Here is a 12,911-nt window from a genome sequence, read left to right as displayed (position 1 = left end):
TGCCTCCCCTCCCGTGATCTGACTCCACTGGAAGCTGATAGCCTGCCCTATCCATGAATCTGCCCCCAGCCCAATTTTCTAGTGGCAGGGGTACTCGGTCTTCCCTCAAAGTGGCATCTGCGGCAGAGAGGAATTGTTCATTCTGTCATCCCCGTGAGTGGAGCTTGGGGTTTAGAGCACAGAGCAGGTGTGCCCTCCACTCCTACAGAGCACAGTCTAAGAGAGAAGGCAGGCCCAAGGCACATGCACCCCTAGGGACATAGGCCCTGTTCCACGGTGGAAGGGTGCTGAGGAGGGGAGGGGTAAATCGATGCCAGATCACACTGGCATTGGAAGAACGGGGCAGGGCTGAACCAGGAAGGCAGACAAGTGCCCCCACATAGAAGAAGAAGGGAAATATGGCAGTGATACGGTAGGGAACAGCTTAGGCCAGGACTCAGCCTCTGAGTCCCATTGGAGTGTACAGAGACAGCGCCTCAGAAGCACATGTGCAGGGGATGTGTTGAGTAGAGGCCCCTGGAGTCTAGGCCAGAGATTCTCTGAGGCTTGTAGCCAGAGAGAGAGTCAGGATAAGAAGGAAAACAAAGGATGTGGCCATGAAGCTGGTGGAGAAGATCATGTTCCAAGGACCAGGGGAGGCTAACGCTGGCAAATCAGGACTGTGTAAGGGTAAGGTGGGCAAAATAGGAAGGCAAGGGCTTCAGGTCCATGGGAGAGTGGGAGTGCCAGCTGCCCAATGCCTGGCAGGACAGATGTCCACGTGGAGAAGGAGGCCTGGTGGGGATGTAAGAAAGGGTAGGCAGGAGCAGCCAAAGAGGCTGGCATGTGGTGGCAGCAGAAACACCGGTGCCATGGAGAGGGACAGGCTCTGGAGTTGCATACATTTGATTTGCAGGGGCCTCAGGAGGGAACCTCAGGAGGGAGCCTCAGAAGGCCAGTAAAGAGAACTGATGTTTTGTAACAGAATGAGGAATGTGGTGAGATCTGATCCCCACCATGGCAATGCCTCCCACCCTGCCGCATCCCTTCACAAAGCCGAAGGCCAGGTCCCCAAAAGGCCAGGACACTGCCGCTCCTCATGCCCTGGGAAGTGGCCACAAACACATCCAGCTGTCTTGTGGCACCCACCCTCCCCAGATGCCGGGAGCAGAAATCAAAGTCAACGCTAAATAGCACAACTTGCTTCCTGATTTCTTCCCTGAGGTGGCCGCCCTGCCAGGCGCTGCGCCCTGCCCCATGCTGATGGCCCTGCCTCTGAGCAGTGCTTCCTGCCACACAGCACCAAGCGTAATGCATAGTAGGTGCTCAAGGAATGTTTGGTTAAGCAAATGAATGAGTGCATGGCCTTGCCACTACTTTTGAGAAGCAGCCAGAGAAGTAGCAAGTGACATCCTTATGATATCCTGCAGACAAGGAGATGGAGGCTCAGAGAGGTCAAAGGGTTGGCCTGTAATGAAGACAGAGCTTGGAACTATCCTGAGACTCCTAGTCTAACACAATGCACACTACACCACAGGGCCCAGTTGTTTACAAAATCAGGTGTGGAGGCAGCTCTGCTTCAAGCTCACTCCTCCCCACCTCTTGGCACCCCTCAGGATAGTAATATCCATGTGCAATGGGCCCTGTCTGCCGCATCTAGGGCTAGGGCTCTCTGGGATTAGCAAGATCAGGAGGAAGAAGGGCTGCACCACTTTGCCTCGTGTCACCAGTGATCCAACCTGAACCCAGCAACAAAGTCTCCTGAACAATGACCCTGGACATCAGGCTCAGCCAACTCTTCCACTGGAAGGTGACTCTCAAAGCCAAGAATCAAAGATCCCTTAGCACTGGTTGCTCTGTGTTTGTTCACAAGATTGGAGTCAGTCTAACAGCATTCAAGTACACACTATTAGGAACCCTGACCCAGAGGGCATGAAGCATTAGGAGAGCTTATCCCGGCAGGCCAAGAACTGCAAAAAGCTTTTAGGGTGGAGGGTAGGTCATGTGATAGAATTAAAAAGAGTCAAAGAGACCCAAGTTTATATTCCAGCTCCACTTTTTATTAGCTGGGTGCCTTGGAAACTTAGTTAAGCATTCTAAACTTCTGTTTGCTCACCTGTGAAATGGAGATTTTTAAAGGAGTAAATGCATAGTGTCTGACACTAAGTAAATATACCATAAATATTATAGATTTTTAGTGGGCTGAATAATATTCTGAGAGTGTTACGTATGTAGAAAGTCTGTTTTCTGCTTTCTCTTTATCTCATGAAAGGAAAAGCCTGCTCTGCCTTTCTTTGCCTCACAAAAGGTGTGTGCAGAGCAGAAACAGAAGTCACCTGCAGTGTTTTCAGGGCACTGTTGCCTGAAACCTAAGCCCATATGAGAACCCAAGGCTCCCTGGAGGATGCAGAAGGAAGAAGCAAGAGAGACAGGCAGGCCTCAAGTGGCAGGGCCTTGAGCCCTGCTCCCTGGTGGTAGCCCCGGGAAGTGGCAAGCCCAGAGAAGGGTGGCTGTGTGGCCTGTCTGGGGGAATATGACTAAGGCAGCTTCCAGAAGATTAGGTTGGCCCAGACAGGGCATGGAAGCAACGGGGGCTGGGGCAGGGACAAGAAAGACCTGGCATGCTGGAGAGTCACCTGGATCAAAGCACAACAATGGGGCATTGACAAAAATGACCAAGATTAATTTTCCTCTCAACCTTAGGGAGGAAGGCAGGGATAGGCAGGAGGGCCAGTGGGGGAGGAAGGGAGGGATGCACCACCAGCCTGACTCAGCAGCGAACTCTCCTGGACAATGGCCCTGGATGCCAGACTCAGCCACCTCTTTCTGTGCTCTTGAAAGATGGGGGCACACTGCAGAAATTCAACTGATTTACAGAAAACGAAAAGACCTGCTGCTCTGTGCACACCTGAGATTTGGACTAGCACCATGAGCTTGTAAATCTCACATTTTACAGATAAGGAAATAGAACCAGGGATTGAACTGAGTCATTCAGAGTCACACAACTGTAGTCATCTGTGAGTCACATTTGTAGAAAGCCAAACACATGCCAGCACTTGATACTCTTATCTTTGATCCTTACATGACCCTCTCAGTATCTCTGCCTCAAGCCTTTGGAAGAGGAAAATGAGACATGGAGAAGTAACTTGCTCAAGGTCACACCGCTTTGCAGTCAACCCAGGACTTGAGCCCAGGATGGTCACACATGCACTCCCAGGGGCTATACTCCCCTGCCACCTGGCCCCCTCCAGCATGCGGCATCATCCCTTTGGACTTCCTCCTGAAGTACTTTTCACAGTGGGGTCACACATTAGATCCTTCCATCTCCCATCCGATGGTGGGCTCCCTAGTCTCTGTGTCCATAGCAAATGCATAGAAGATGCTCAATAAATTGACTTGAATTATCTTTATTGATGCTCATATCTGAGTGGAGATCAGACGCTTATGTCAAGGTGTTACAGTAGGTAGCTAGCCATGTATGAGTACAGCAGAAGACTCTCCACACACACGTCAGGAGTGTTTGGTGACCATCAGGTGATGGTCAGGCGGTTGTTAACTGTCTCTCTAAAGTAATAATTGGTCACAGCCAGCACCAGCAAAAGGCAGTCTCCTAGTAGATAGAAAACACCTGGAACTGGTGATCAGCAGCTTCCCAATAAGATCTCAGGAGTCGGGAGAAATAATGCAAGATCCCAGAAGTATGCCAATGTATAAAACCCCGAGTCACGAGGTCAAGCCACGCACTTGGTCTCAAGTCGCCTGTTTGGCCCTCTTCCAAGAGTACTTTCCTTCCTTTCCTTACGGCACTAAAGCTTTTTAATAAACTTTCACTCCTACTCTAAAACTGCCTTGGTCTCTCCTTCTGCTCTTTTGCCCCTCACTTGAATTCTTTTTTCTGGGTAGACAAGAATTGAGGTTGCTGCAGACCTGTACAGATAACTACCACTGCTAACAAAACAGGGTGTCCCTGGGCACTGATTTGTTATAGCCACTTTGTGGGTCAGTCCCCAGGCTCAAGGAATCTAGACCAAGGGGAGTCATCCCCCTCCAGCACCAGGTAACCAGTGATGAAATCTTATCGTGGCTTTTCTAAACACTTTTTAGAATTTTTAGAATTCTGCAATTCAGCAAAAGATGACTGAATCATGTCCACACTTGAAAAGCCCCAGAGCCTGAAGAAGACTAAGGGGCCCTGGGGCATTTGCTGTAGGACAAATAGAGAGCAATTGCTCAAGTGGAAGAGACCCCAGGAGGTGGAGACCTAACAAACGTCGCCCCGCACATTTGTAGAAATCCCCACCCTTCTTCTTCCTCCCCACAAAATGGCCACTGTGCGTGGTGTAATGGCCCGTCCACGTGCTGAGGTCAGCAGAACATTTAGGTGAGAATAACTCCCAGCCTCCATACCTGCACAGTTATTTGTTCTGCATTAAGTGGCCTGAGTCCTGGAAACCTCTGCCCAATGCATGATGGAATTGCCAGGTCCTCTTGGGAGAAAGAATGGGGCGTGGGCCCCACCCTGCTCATGGAAGAGCATATTATTAGTTCTGAGAAACAGCAATAGTGAAACCTATTCCTGGTTCCTGAATGGGAAGGGAGAGGGGGATAGAAGGAAGGAGAAGAGGCAATTACCACAACTACCATGCAGGCCTCTGGGCAGGGAGGGCGGCACCCAGCAGACAGAAGCCCATAGGCTGGTCAACCAGGACCTCATCAGGCCACTCCCAGTTCAGGAGCCTTTACCAGCAGAGACCTGCAGACCAAGCTCCTGACCACCAGGAGTCTGGCCCCATCCACTTTCCCAGCCTCATCTCTGCAGCTTCCCAAACAGGAACCAGGCACAAACACTCACCATGCCTCAATCATGACATGCATGATCCTGTCTCCACACTCTGCTCAGTGCTTCATTGAGATTGGAACACCCTCCCCACCTCTCTCCATCTTGGAGAAACTTACCTAATACTTTTTGATGTGTTTCAACGTGACATGCAACTTCTCCCCTCACTGTGCTTTTACCTATGCTATACCTCTGCCCAAATGCCCTTCTCTCTATTTTCTGCCTACCCATCTTCTTCAAGATTCTGCTCAAAAGATATGTCCTATGGGCTGGGCATGGGCTCAGTGGCTCACATCTGTAATCCCAACAATTTGAGAGACTGAGGCAGGAGGATCACTTGAGCCCAGGAGTTCAAGACCAGCCTGAGAAATATAATGAGACCCCATCTCTGTTGTAAATAAATAAAGAAATAATTTTAGAAAATGATATGTCCTGTGTGAAGCCTTTTCTTATATCTCCTATGAGATCAATTAGGAATGGGTTTGGCTGCAAGTAATTGAAAATCTGACTACAGTGGTTTAAATAGCAGTTTATTTTTCTCACAAAACAAGAAGTCCAGAAAAATACAGAATTGGTTCAATGGACACCACTGCAATTCATTTGGCCTTTTCCTTATGGCTGCAAATGGCTGTTACAGCAGCAAACATCGCATCCCATCCCAAAGCAAGAAGAAGGGGAAGCGGGAAGAAGCAGTACCAGCAGACCGCTCATGCCTGATGAACTTCATTTTATAGCTCCCAGCTACAAGGTAGGCCGGAAAATTGAGGATTGCACTTTTTTGTCTGTATAGTGGAAGCAGACAATCAGGTTCTGTTGAGCCCACCCACATTGTCTGCAGTAACCACCCACTCCACCACCAGCGCAGTTTGCTCCTCGGTCTGGGATGTTCTCAGAGTGCTTATCTCACTGCTCAGTGATGGCTTACACATCAGCCTCCCTCTGGACTAAGAACTCTAGGGCAGGAATTTTGTCTGAATTTTCTCTGTAACTCTAAACACCTAGAACAATGCCTGACCTAAAATAAGCACTCAGTAAATGTTAAATTCATCCTCCCATTCACTCAACAGCTATATACAGAAGTAAGCAAATGAGGCCATGGGACTTCCTTCCCAAAAGAGGTCTCCAGTGGCTGAAATCAGGGAGTAAGTGCCCACGTGACCCACATATGGACAGTCAGTGGCCTGTGGCCCACCACAGCAACACCTCCTCCTCTGCCAATGAGGTCACCTGGCCCTTGTGCCAAGCACTGAGCATGTAGAGGTGAGTAAGCTCCTCTCCCTGCCCTCAGGGAGCTTGTAGTCCAGTGGAACACACAGACGTGTAGGCAACTAAGTATAATTCAATGCATGAGTCCTTTCCTTGGCTTACGGACCAGTGCTACTGGGGAAGGGAGAGTAGAGCACTCGCCTGTATGAGGAAAGGCAGGGAGCTTCATCCAGGGATGAGCTGGTATATTGATCATGTTCTCTGATTTTCCATATTCTTGATGCTCTGGCATCTGGGGCCTTGATCCTTGAGAGACTGCCCTCACAGGACTAGCTAATTCCTAGGCATGGCGAAAGACTCCCCTGTGAGCCTGTCTTTGATATACGAACCAACCCACCCACAGCCCACACCCCCAACCCTCTCCTTTATCAAACTCTCAAAAAGCAAGCCAATTTTCTCCCTGCCCTAAACCACCCCAGGGTCAAATACCACTCCTCCAGCCCAGAGTCCGCTGAAATTACTCAAACTATACAATTCTAAGCTTACTCAGAATACCTACCCTGTGTCACCCATTCCTTCATGTAATAATGCAATAAAGGCTCTATGTCACAATTTCCTTTCCCTTGACCACCCCAGACAACTCCCCCCCAACCTCCACCTCCTGACTGACCCCAGTGCTTCCCAATGTGGCCCTACATGCCTCCTATGTCTAGGGGTCTGTAAGTATAAACTTCTTCCTTCATGACAATCATGTCCATGTCTGCATGTCCTACCATACCTAATTAAAACAAACCCCAGGTATAAATTTCAGAACAGCTGGCTAGAAGGGATATAATGGGGCTAGTCCTGGGGAGCATCTAGCACATCCCTAGGCAGATCTAGCCGGGAAACTCAGCTGACAGGTGCTGCACTGATCAAGGTAACACTGAGATGCTGACTTAGATACAGAGTGAGAGATGAGATGACCCCTGGGAGATCCTCCTCCCCCTAGTCTGGACCCTCTTTGATGCTCCCAACTAGAGGACTAGACATCAGTTTCATGATGCTCCTGCCACTAACATTTCAAGCTAATTTGGGAAGTGGTGAGGAGAGATCCAGCTGCCCCCTCAGCAAAGCATCAAGCTTGATCACATAACAATGAATGTTGGCAAGCATGGCCACTGACCAGGCAGCATCCTAAGCCCTTTACATGTATAAAATCACTTCTTCCCAGCCACACACCACCACAATCCTGTAAATGAGGTACTATCTGTCTCATTTTAAGGGAACCGAAGCACAGATCAGTTCAATAACCTGCCCAAGATCACACAGTCAGTAAGGGGCAGGCCCAGGATTCAGACTCAGGTAGCATGACTCTAGAATGAGGGCCCTGGATGGTGACAACACAAAGCCGGAGCTGACACTTGCATTTTTGTTGCTACAGTGCCCAGCAGGCACCGTGGAGATGGGGGCAGATGTCTGGAAGCAGAGAAGGTGCCGAGTGGAAAGCAGGGGATGAAGGCTACTTTCCTCCTGGGCAGCCGCCGGCGGGACCAGGCAGGCTTTTCTCTCTCGCCCAGGGTGCGGTGTAGAGCCTCCACTGGACTCCACCACGGGGAGGAAGACCGAGGCTACCCAGCCTCCTGGCTGCTGGCCATGGCTCTAGCCCACCCTTGCCTGTGTGTCAAGAGAGAATCCAAAACAATGTTCCTTTTGCTGTAAAGGGCATGATTAGGACAATTGGCAAAATAGTCTACATCAGATGATAGTATTGTTCTGATATTAATTTCCTGACTTCGATATTTGTACCAATTTTCATGTTAATATTTACAAGAAAATGTCCTTGATTTGGGGGGAATACTGAAGTAAAGAGTATTATGTCAGGCCGGGCACAGTGGCTCACGCCTGTAATCCCAGCACTTTAGGAGGCTGAGGCAGGTGGATCACTTGAGGTCAGGAGTTCAAGGCCAGCCTGGCCAACATGGTGAAACCCGGTCTCTACTAAAAATACAAAATTAGCCAGGCGTGGTGGTGGGTGCCTGTAATCCCAGCTACTTGGAAGGCTGAGGCAGGAGAATTGATTGAACCCAGGAGGTGGAGGTTGCAGTGAGCCGAGATCGCGCCATTGCACTCCAGCCTGGACAACAAGAGCAAAACTTCGTCTCAAAAAAAAAAAGAGTATTATGTCTGCAACTTGCTTCCTAAAAGATCCAGGGGAAGAAAAACATACATATATGTTCTATATAATTTATATAGCTATGTGTTTTCTTTATACTTATGTATTAAATATCAATAATTATATATTTTATATATATTTAAGTTTTATTTTTATACATAAAATATATAAATATATTACATATTATATAATATAATATATATTTTAATACCTAGAGAGAGTGAGAGAGAGAAAAGCAGAGGGGAAGGGGAGAGGGAGGAATAGCGGACAGAAAAATAATGCAAATGTGGTGAGGTGTCAACATTTCTGATATTTGGGTTAAGGTATGTAAGAACTCTTTCTGCAAGTTTGAAATTATGTCTAAATAAAAAGATTTTAAAGATTGAGATAATCCAAAGGCCTCTCCAAAACCATATTTATAAATTTGACACATGCCACCCCGCATGTCCAGAGGAAGAAGGTGGAAACTAGACAGGGAGAGAGCCGGTTACTCACAGCCTAGGGCCCTGCCCCGGGAAACAGGCAAATGGATCCAAATTCACTGGGGGCTGCAGGGAAGTGGGGTTAGCAGACAGGTCCTAAATCCCATTTCAGAGTATTTTTCAGGTAGGGAGGTAAAAAGAAGAGGAAAGCAGAGTGGGAGAGAGGAGGATGGGGTGAGAAGTTTCTCTGGTAGGAAACAGGTCCCTTCCAGCTCTGTCCCCACCACCACACAATACCTAGGCACCAAGACTGGACAGGGCAGTCCTAAAATGGGATGACGAAGATGGACATACAGAACACGAGCCCTCTGCAGGACAATGAGGCATTAGCACCAGGTCACACATCTTGAGATCGTGATTGATTTGCTTTGTAAATACAGTTTGTGCTGGGCACTGTGGCTCATACCTGTAATCCTACCACTTCCAGAGGCAGAGGCAGGTGGATCACTTGAGCCCAGGAGTTCAAGACCAGCCTGGGCAACATGGTGAGACCCTGTCTCCAGAAAAAAATACAAAAATTAGCCAGGGGTGGTGGTGCATGCCTGTAATCCCAGCTACTCAGGAGGCTGAGGCTGAGGGAGGATTGCTTGAGCCAGGGAAGTAGAGGCTGCAGTGAGCCAAGATAGCACCACTGCGCTCCAGCCTGGGCAACAGAGCAAGACCCTGTCTCGAAAGAAAGAAAGAAAGTTGTAAGGAATCGCTTAGTAGTTGGGAAGGAAAACTGGTTCAAAATTTAATGTTTAAGATCTTCATAATATTAGATTTGGTGAGGTCTCCTTGATATGACACCAAAAGCACAAGAAACAAAGGGAAAAATAGATAAATGGGACTACATCAAAACTTAAAACCTTTGTGCATGAAATGACACACATCAACGAAGTGAAAAGGCAACCCATGGAATGGGGGAAAATGTTTGCAAATCATATATCTGATAGGGGCTAATATCCAGAATATGTAAAGAACTTCTACAAAAAACAAATAACTTGATTTATTCTTTTTCCCTTTTTTTTTTTTTTTTTTTGAGACAGAGTCTTGCTCTATCGCCCAGGCTGGAGTGCAATGACGTGATCTCAACTCACTGCAACCTCCACCTCCCAGGTTCAAGTGATTCTCCTGCCTCAGCTTCCCGAGTAGCTGGGATTACAGGCACCCGCCACCACACTCGGCTCATTTTTGTATTTTTAGTAGACGGGGTTTCACCATCTTGGCCAGGCTGGTCTTGAACTCATGACCTCATGATCCACCCACCTCGGCCTCCCAAAGTGCTGGGATTACAGGCATGAGCCACCACGCCCAGCCATAACTTGATTTTTAAATGGGCCAATGACTTGAATAGAAGTGATTTCTTCAAAGAAGAGATACAAATGGCCAAGAAACGTATTAAAATATGCTCAACATCACTAATTATTAGGGAAATACAAATCAAGACTACAATGAGATATCACATCACACACATTAGGATGGCTGCTATCAAAAGAAGGGAATAGGGGAAGAAGGAAGGGAAGGGAGGAGGGAAGGAAGGAAAAGGAGGGAGGGAAGGAAGAAGGGAAGGAAGGAAGGGAGAGAAAACGAGTGTTAGCAAATACTTAGAGAAGCTGGAAACCTTGTATATTGCTGGTATGCATGTGAAATCGTGCAGCCACTATGGAAAACAGTATGGCAATTCCTCAAAAAATTAAAAGTAGAACACTGTATGATTCAATAATTCCACTTGTGGGATTCTTCAGTTCACTCAGATGAATTGAAAGCTGGGTTCCAAAAAGATATTTGTATACCCATGTTTGTAGCAGCATTATGCACAATAGCCAAAAGGTAGGATCAAGTGTCCATCCACAGAGGAATGGATAAACAAAATGTGGCATATGTGTGTATGTCTGTGTGTGTGTGTGTGTGTGTGTGTGTATATATATATATGAATATTATTCAGTCTTAAAAAGAAAGGACATTCTAACACGTGCTACAAAATTGATGAATCTTGAAGATGCTATGTTAAGTGAGATAAGCCAGTCACAAAAAGACAAATACTGTATGATTCCGCTTATGTGAAGCACACAGAGGAGTCAAATTCAGAGACAGAAAGTAGAATGGTGGTTTCCAGGAGCTGGGACCAGGGAGAGAATGGGGATTTATTGTTTAATGGGTACAGAGTTTCAGTTTGGGAAGATGAAAAATTTCTGGAAATGGATGGTGGTGATGTTTGCCCAAGAACATGAATTTACTCAATGCTGCTGAACCATACCCTTAAAAATGATTAAAATGGTAACTTCTATGTCACATATACAACACAGTAAAAAAATAGGTTTACTTGTAAATAAAAATCAGTATACTCTTATGAACCAAATATCATAAACTATAATCTAATGAATGGAATATGCACCTTTTGAAAACTCAGAATATAAAGAGGGACACCTTCAGGTTTTATGTTCTGTCTTTGAACATCTGCAAAACTCACTCCTCCCTGGCCTGGTCACTGTGAAAAGTAGAGGGACAGGGTCTCAATCATGGGGTTTTCAGGAGTAGAGGCGACCTTGGCAATGTCTCTTACACAGCCCTGGGTCCCTGAGTGCCCACTGTGTGCTCAGCGCCCCTGCTCTGCCCTTGTGACAGTCATCCCTCCCAGCCTCGGCGTCCTCATCTGGAAACATCTTCTACCTTGTAGGTTTTTTGTGATGATCAGTGAGGCCATGCAAGGTGCCTGGCAACAGCAGGCACTCGATGAATGCAAGCTCTTATTATTCTCCTCTCATCTAGTCATCACCAAGAGCATGCAGGGTGGTTGCTATTATCTATATTTTACAAATGAGAAAAATGAAGCTTAAAGAACTTAAGTCGTTACTCAGCTCCAAGATGAGAAGACAGTGTTGCCAGGATTTCAATCCAGGACCAGTTCAACTCCAGAATCCATGATCTTTCTACCCCAGCCTCTCAGGCCTCATTTAACAGATAAGAAACATGAGGCTCAGTGACATTGGCAAGGGTGAAAGCCCAGATGACCACAGGGGCCAGGCAGGTAATGGAGAAGAATATGTTAGCTGATGTAAAAAAAAAAAAAAAATCGCCTACCAGAGATTCTACCAAATTATATCTATTTTTACTAAACTAAGGAGTAGGCATGTAACATTTTATGGGCCTACAAAATACTAGAGATTGTGCTTCAAATTCTAAATTTAAAAATAAATGTTGAAAAATAATTTTAGGAGAAACCAGATCAAAAAAGAAAAAAATGCAATTAATTTAATTATCTTCCAAATTGCTTCATTTCAGATGTCTCACTATGTTGCCCAGGCTGGTCTCGAACTCCTGGCCTCAAGCAATCCTCCCACCTCAGCCTCCCAAAGTTCTGGGATAACAAGCATGAGCCACCAGGCCCAGTGTCCTTCCAATTTTTTTTTTTTTTTTTTTTTTGAGACAGAGTCTCACTCTGTCACCAGGCTGGAGTGCAGCGGCGCAATCTCGGCTCACTGCAACCTCGGCCTGCCAGGTTCAAGCGATTCTCCTGCCTCAGCCTCCTGAGTAGCTGGGATTACGGCGCACACCATCAGGCCTGGCTAATTTTTGTATTTTTAATAGAGACGGGGTTTCACCATGTTGGCCAGGATGGTCTCGATCTCCTGACCTCGTGATCCGCCTGCCTCGGCCTCCCAAACTGCTGGGATTGCAGGTGCGAGCCAACGCACCTGGCCCCAATTTATTTTTTAAGCATAATGCAGGCCAACACCTGCAGACCAAATTGTCTGCAGGTCAGATGCTAACCCCAGCCACCAGATGGCCACCCTGAGGAAGGTATAGTGGAGGCCAAGATCAATGGCGGGTTCAGGAACATTTGAAAAGAAAGATAATATCACAAGTTAGTGCCACTGTGGGAACCCACACTAGGGATGCCAGGATTTGCCATTTTCCAAGAGATACAGGAAATGTGGATGTGGGGAGAAATATACCAGCTTTGAAATAAGAGCAACCATTTGTTTTTGCACTGTGCAGACAAAATAGCAGAGGTCTATAGGGCAAGCCTCTCCTCCCACCCAGTGACAGTCTACAGGATGAGCCACTTCACATATTGGCAAAGCCCAGACTAAAGAAAAATCTCCAGACTCCCAGGCCGTGATGGAACCAACCAGTGTCTTCTCCAGCCTGGACCAGTCCAGAATGGGAGCAGGAGGTCCCGAGGGGAAAGGATGGAAGGGGGAAGGAGACTGGCGGATGCCCAACCCCGACAGTCCCAGCTGAAGGAGACAGGTGTACAGACACTGGG

At 47.2% G+C, this 12,911-nt stretch overlaps 2 long non-coding RNA genes across 2 annotated transcripts, besides 4 other annotated features; one reads left to right on the top strand and one right to left on the bottom strand.

The window, feature by feature from the left end:
- Positions 2,017 to 2,517: an enhancer, noted in NCBI's record as "H3K4me1 hESC enhancer chr1:111020411-111020911 (GRCh37/hg19 assembly coordinates)". NCBI's record gives its function as "activates a minimal SCP1, AML or CMV promoter by ChIP-STARR-seq in primed H9 embryonic stem cells {active_cell/tissue: H9 hESC(primed)}" and the evidence as "EXISTENCE:reporter gene assay evidence [ECO:0000049][PMID:30033119]".
- Positions 2,017 to 3,018: a biological region, named in NCBI's record as "H3K4me1 hESC enhancers GRCh37_chr1:111019910-111020410 and GRCh37_chr1:111020411-111020911".
- Positions 2,265 to 2,559: a silencer, noted in NCBI's record as "tiled region #9354; K562 Repressive non-DNase unmatched - State 20:ReprD". NCBI's record gives its function as "represses a minimal TATA promoter and a strong SV40 promoter by Sharpr-MPRA in K562 cells {active_cell/tissue: K562}" and the evidence as "EXISTENCE:reporter gene assay evidence [ECO:0000049][PMID:27701403]".
- Positions 2,518 to 3,018: an enhancer, noted in NCBI's record as "H3K4me1 hESC enhancer chr1:111019910-111020410 (GRCh37/hg19 assembly coordinates)". NCBI's record gives its function as "activates a minimal SCP1, AML or CMV promoter by ChIP-STARR-seq in primed H9 embryonic stem cells {active_cell/tissue: H9 hESC(primed)}" and the evidence as "EXISTENCE:reporter gene assay evidence [ECO:0000049][PMID:30033119]".
- Positions 6,224 to 6,549, bottom strand: LOC105378898 (uncharacterized). Its single transcript, XR_001738181.1, has 2 exons — positions 6,512 to 6,549; positions 6,224 to 6,362 (listed from the first exon to the last, which is right to left on the bottom strand). It is a non-coding gene; the product is annotated as an uncharacterized LOC105378898 (long non-coding RNA).
- Positions 6,550 to 6,659: 110 nt separating this feature from the next.
- LOC105378899 (uncharacterized) lies at positions 6,660 to 7,764 on the top strand. The gene is made up of 2 exons (XR_947699.2): positions 6,660 to 6,741; positions 7,446 to 7,764. It is a non-coding gene; the product is annotated as an uncharacterized LOC105378899 (long non-coding RNA).
- Positions 7,765 to 12,911: the final 5,147 nt, after the last annotated feature.

Source organism: Homo sapiens, chromosome 1 (assembly GCF_000001405.40).
Source record: "Homo sapiens chromosome 1, GRCh38.p14 Primary Assembly".
In the NCBI taxonomy this organism is placed as follows: domain Eukaryota; kingdom Metazoa; phylum Chordata; class Mammalia; order Primates; family Hominidae; genus Homo; species Homo sapiens.
This window is presented reverse-complemented; position numbering and strand designations above follow the sequence as displayed.